The following is a 3,526-nucleotide window of genomic DNA, read 5'->3' as shown; positions in this document are numbered from 1 at the left end:
GAGCCTCCAGCAACTAGACGTTCTAGTTAGAAATGTGTCAGTAAGATTAAATAATTCAGGCTTTCCTCTGGGTAGTGTGGACAAAACTGAATTTTCAATCACAGTTTATTGTTAAAAAATGATATTTGATATTGGAAAGTAGCTTTCATTTAACAAACATTAATATGCTATTATTATGTGCCAGGAAATGTTCTAGGTTATAGGCAGTAAACAAAACCAAAAAAGTCCTTCCATTGTAAAACTTGTAGTGGATAAACTTCCAGGTAGTTGAGTTGAGATATAAAAATTTCCAGTGCATGGCACTTCATACACTATCTTTGAAATATATTTTAAACTTGGATAAATTTAAAAGACATTCCAAAGGCCTTGGGGGAAATATAACTCATTTATTTTGTTTTTGTTGTTGTTGTTTTTGTTAGCAACCAAAGACTTATTTCTAAACCTAATAAACAAGGTATTGAGGTAACGTTGCTAACCTTAAAGCGTTTATTAGATACCACTCAATACAAAGTAAAATTCCTCAGGAAATATTTTATCATTTGTTTGTGATTCACTAAATTGCAGCTTGTTTTAAAACAAACAAGCTGAATATTCAGCTTAGTGTTTTTAAAAATTGCTACAAAATGTAAAACTAAAAAGGAATTCAATAAGGATAGCACATAGTTCAAAATCCCTGTATCACCTAGTGAATATTTTGAGATAGTTTATTTTTATTTATTTCTCAAGTTATACACTTGATTTGTCTGAATAATCGAAAGCTGTATTTCACAAAAATCATGTAAATTATTAATAAAAATGAGCAACTTATAAAGACTCCATTGACATAGATTTTAAAAGAATAATAGTGAAATTAATGATTAAAGTATTTTATTTGTCACAGTACAGATTTTTAAAAATTATTAAGACTCACAGTTATAATTATGCTTATTTATAGAACTTAGTATAATTTCCCATTTTAGGTAACTCTGTAATTTTTTAGTTTAGAAGCTGGACCTTGAAGGACCCTAGTTAAGGAATTTGAACCATTTAATTCATGAGAGGGAAAATCACATAATTTGCAACTGTCATTATTAGGTCCTGACTAATAATAGGTCATATTTATTTGAATTTTAGTTTATTAAAAGCAGAATCAAATGCATATTTTAAAAGTACATGTCTATACTTGTATAAATGTATGAACTATTGAAACACAGGCATAAGAATAAATGACTATGGCAAAGTGTGGAAATATTGTCCTAGTGTTATTGCTGATTTTTTAAATAACTTACACATTATGCTTGAAACCCTTTGTAAGTTGGCTGGTATGGTTAATGATGGAGTTTTAGACTTAAGTACCTTTCCTTGCTTCTCCTGTTTTCACTTAAACCTTTAACTTCATTTCAGCACAATTTTTTTTTTGGTTTAGTGCCTTCTTGCTAAGCAGCTCAGAATTTCCTCCAGGGTCCCTAATGGGCTCAATGCTGGACCCGTTAAAACTTTTTTTTGACAAATCTTCTTCCGGTAAGTGTGACTTGTGTGGCAAATACTCACTTATTTATGGTTGACATAGTCTTGTATCAAAAGAACACAAAGCTGAAGTTATACTTAATGACCTGCCACGTGGTATTATACCTGTATTTTTGCTCTTCTGCAGTTAAGGTTTTGTATTTCCATTAAAATTGATTTTCAGTGGCTGGTAAGTTAACTGCAAATAATCTGTCCATGAGAGATGAAAACGGATATATGAGTGCATCCCTTAGGAGTCAATGTGTAATTAAATCTGCATGGTTGTTGTAAAGTTAAATCACAGTAGGTTAAGGGTAATATCAAAAAACCATGAGTTTAGGGGAACACTGTAAATTAAATTTAGGTCAGGTTCTTTCATTTTTTAATTAGCAAATACTATTAATTTAAATAATCATTTTGATTTCATAGAAAATACAAAAACCTTGAACCGCATAACATTTTTGCCTCTAAGAATTTGAAGGTCTACCACTTGCTATTTTAGATTAATAACTAACAATATTAGAAACAATTTACACAAAACATGATTTAGGTTTTGCTGGTGATATTTACTTTATAGCAATATATCCTATTTTTATTTTAAAACTTATTTAGTCATCTGAATCAATAAATAATTATCAATTGATTTCCCTCCAAAAGAGGCTGTGCCAGATGCTGAAGATTCAAAGATAATTGATACTTTATCTGGCTAGAAAAGCCAATATTCTATTAAACTAGATAATAATTTCATTTCTAGCAAAATATTCCCTTGCTTTGTGAACTTGGGAAAACTTTTTATCTCTCTAATCTATAAGCAGGTTAACACTGAAGTGCAGATAAAAGATGATAAAATACGAAACCTCTCTGGTGAAGTTATAAGAATTAAATGAGAGTCTACACATCAGAACTTAGAATTATGCTTAGATAAATATTAGCTGTTACTCTTACTAAGGGGAATAAAGAGAGAGAAAGAAAATACATAAGACAAACAATTTGGAAATAAATGCAGTTGTTCAAGATAGAATTATTGAGAAACTTGAACAAAGGTTTCAATCAGTTGAAATAAAAATCAAATTATGAATTAAATACAGAAAGTGAGAAGTTGGAATAAGCAAGACTAAGGAGTGTAATTAATTTGAGCAATGAAAGAATTGTGAGTAAAATAATTACTCTCAGATTTCAAGCCTGGATGACTATGAGTGGAAAGGCAGTTTCATGATCACAAAAAGGACATCGTTAATCACAATGATGGAGTAAGTGATGAGCTTATATGTAACTTTTAAAGCTTCAGTTCTTCATAAGATATATAACTATCCAGAAGGTAGTTGTAAATATAATGAGAAACCTTAGCATAAATCTCCCCCTAAAACACATAAAAACAATATTTAAATTTCAACCTGCAATATGTGGAGATATACAAGCACTATTTTAATCCCTTATAGCCCATGTTCATAATACTTGCATTATAATACACATTAATAAAAGTGAAAGGCCAACTAACTGCCACAAAGTGTTAAATATATTTGTTATACACAAAGATTGTTATGAAATTCGTAATATTTTTAGTCAATTGGAAAAATACAAAAACTATAAAATTAGGGAAAAGATTATAATGTAATTTGCAAAAATAAAATAAACAGGAATAATAGCCAAAAAAATCTTCAAGTTCCCTAGTGACAAAGAAATGCAATGCAAAACAGTACATTTCCATATGTAAGACCTATAAATAATTATCTTCAATAAATAATACCCATAGTTGTGAAGGTTATAAGAAAATTAATATTATCTTTCAATAGACTATTGTGGATATGTGAGTGATACTCTCACAACATTGACCCCTGAATATGATTTTACCCTTTTGAATAATGTTGCTATCATTCTTTTAATACCAAATTCAAATGAAAATAATCTGTTATTTTCTTTGATCCTATTTTATTTTCTGAGAACCATTTTTGGTGAATATTTTCTTTAAACAATATCTAAAATTTATCTCTTATTTTCCATTACCAATCTTATGACCAAATTTAACTTTCTGCTTAAATTA

This window comes from Homo sapiens, chromosome 3 (genome assembly GCF_000001405.40).
Source record: "Homo sapiens chromosome 3, GRCh38.p14 Primary Assembly".
In the NCBI taxonomy this organism is placed as follows: Eukaryota; Metazoa; Chordata; class Mammalia; order Primates; family Hominidae; genus Homo; species Homo sapiens.
Note: the sequence above shows the minus strand (reverse complement) of the source record.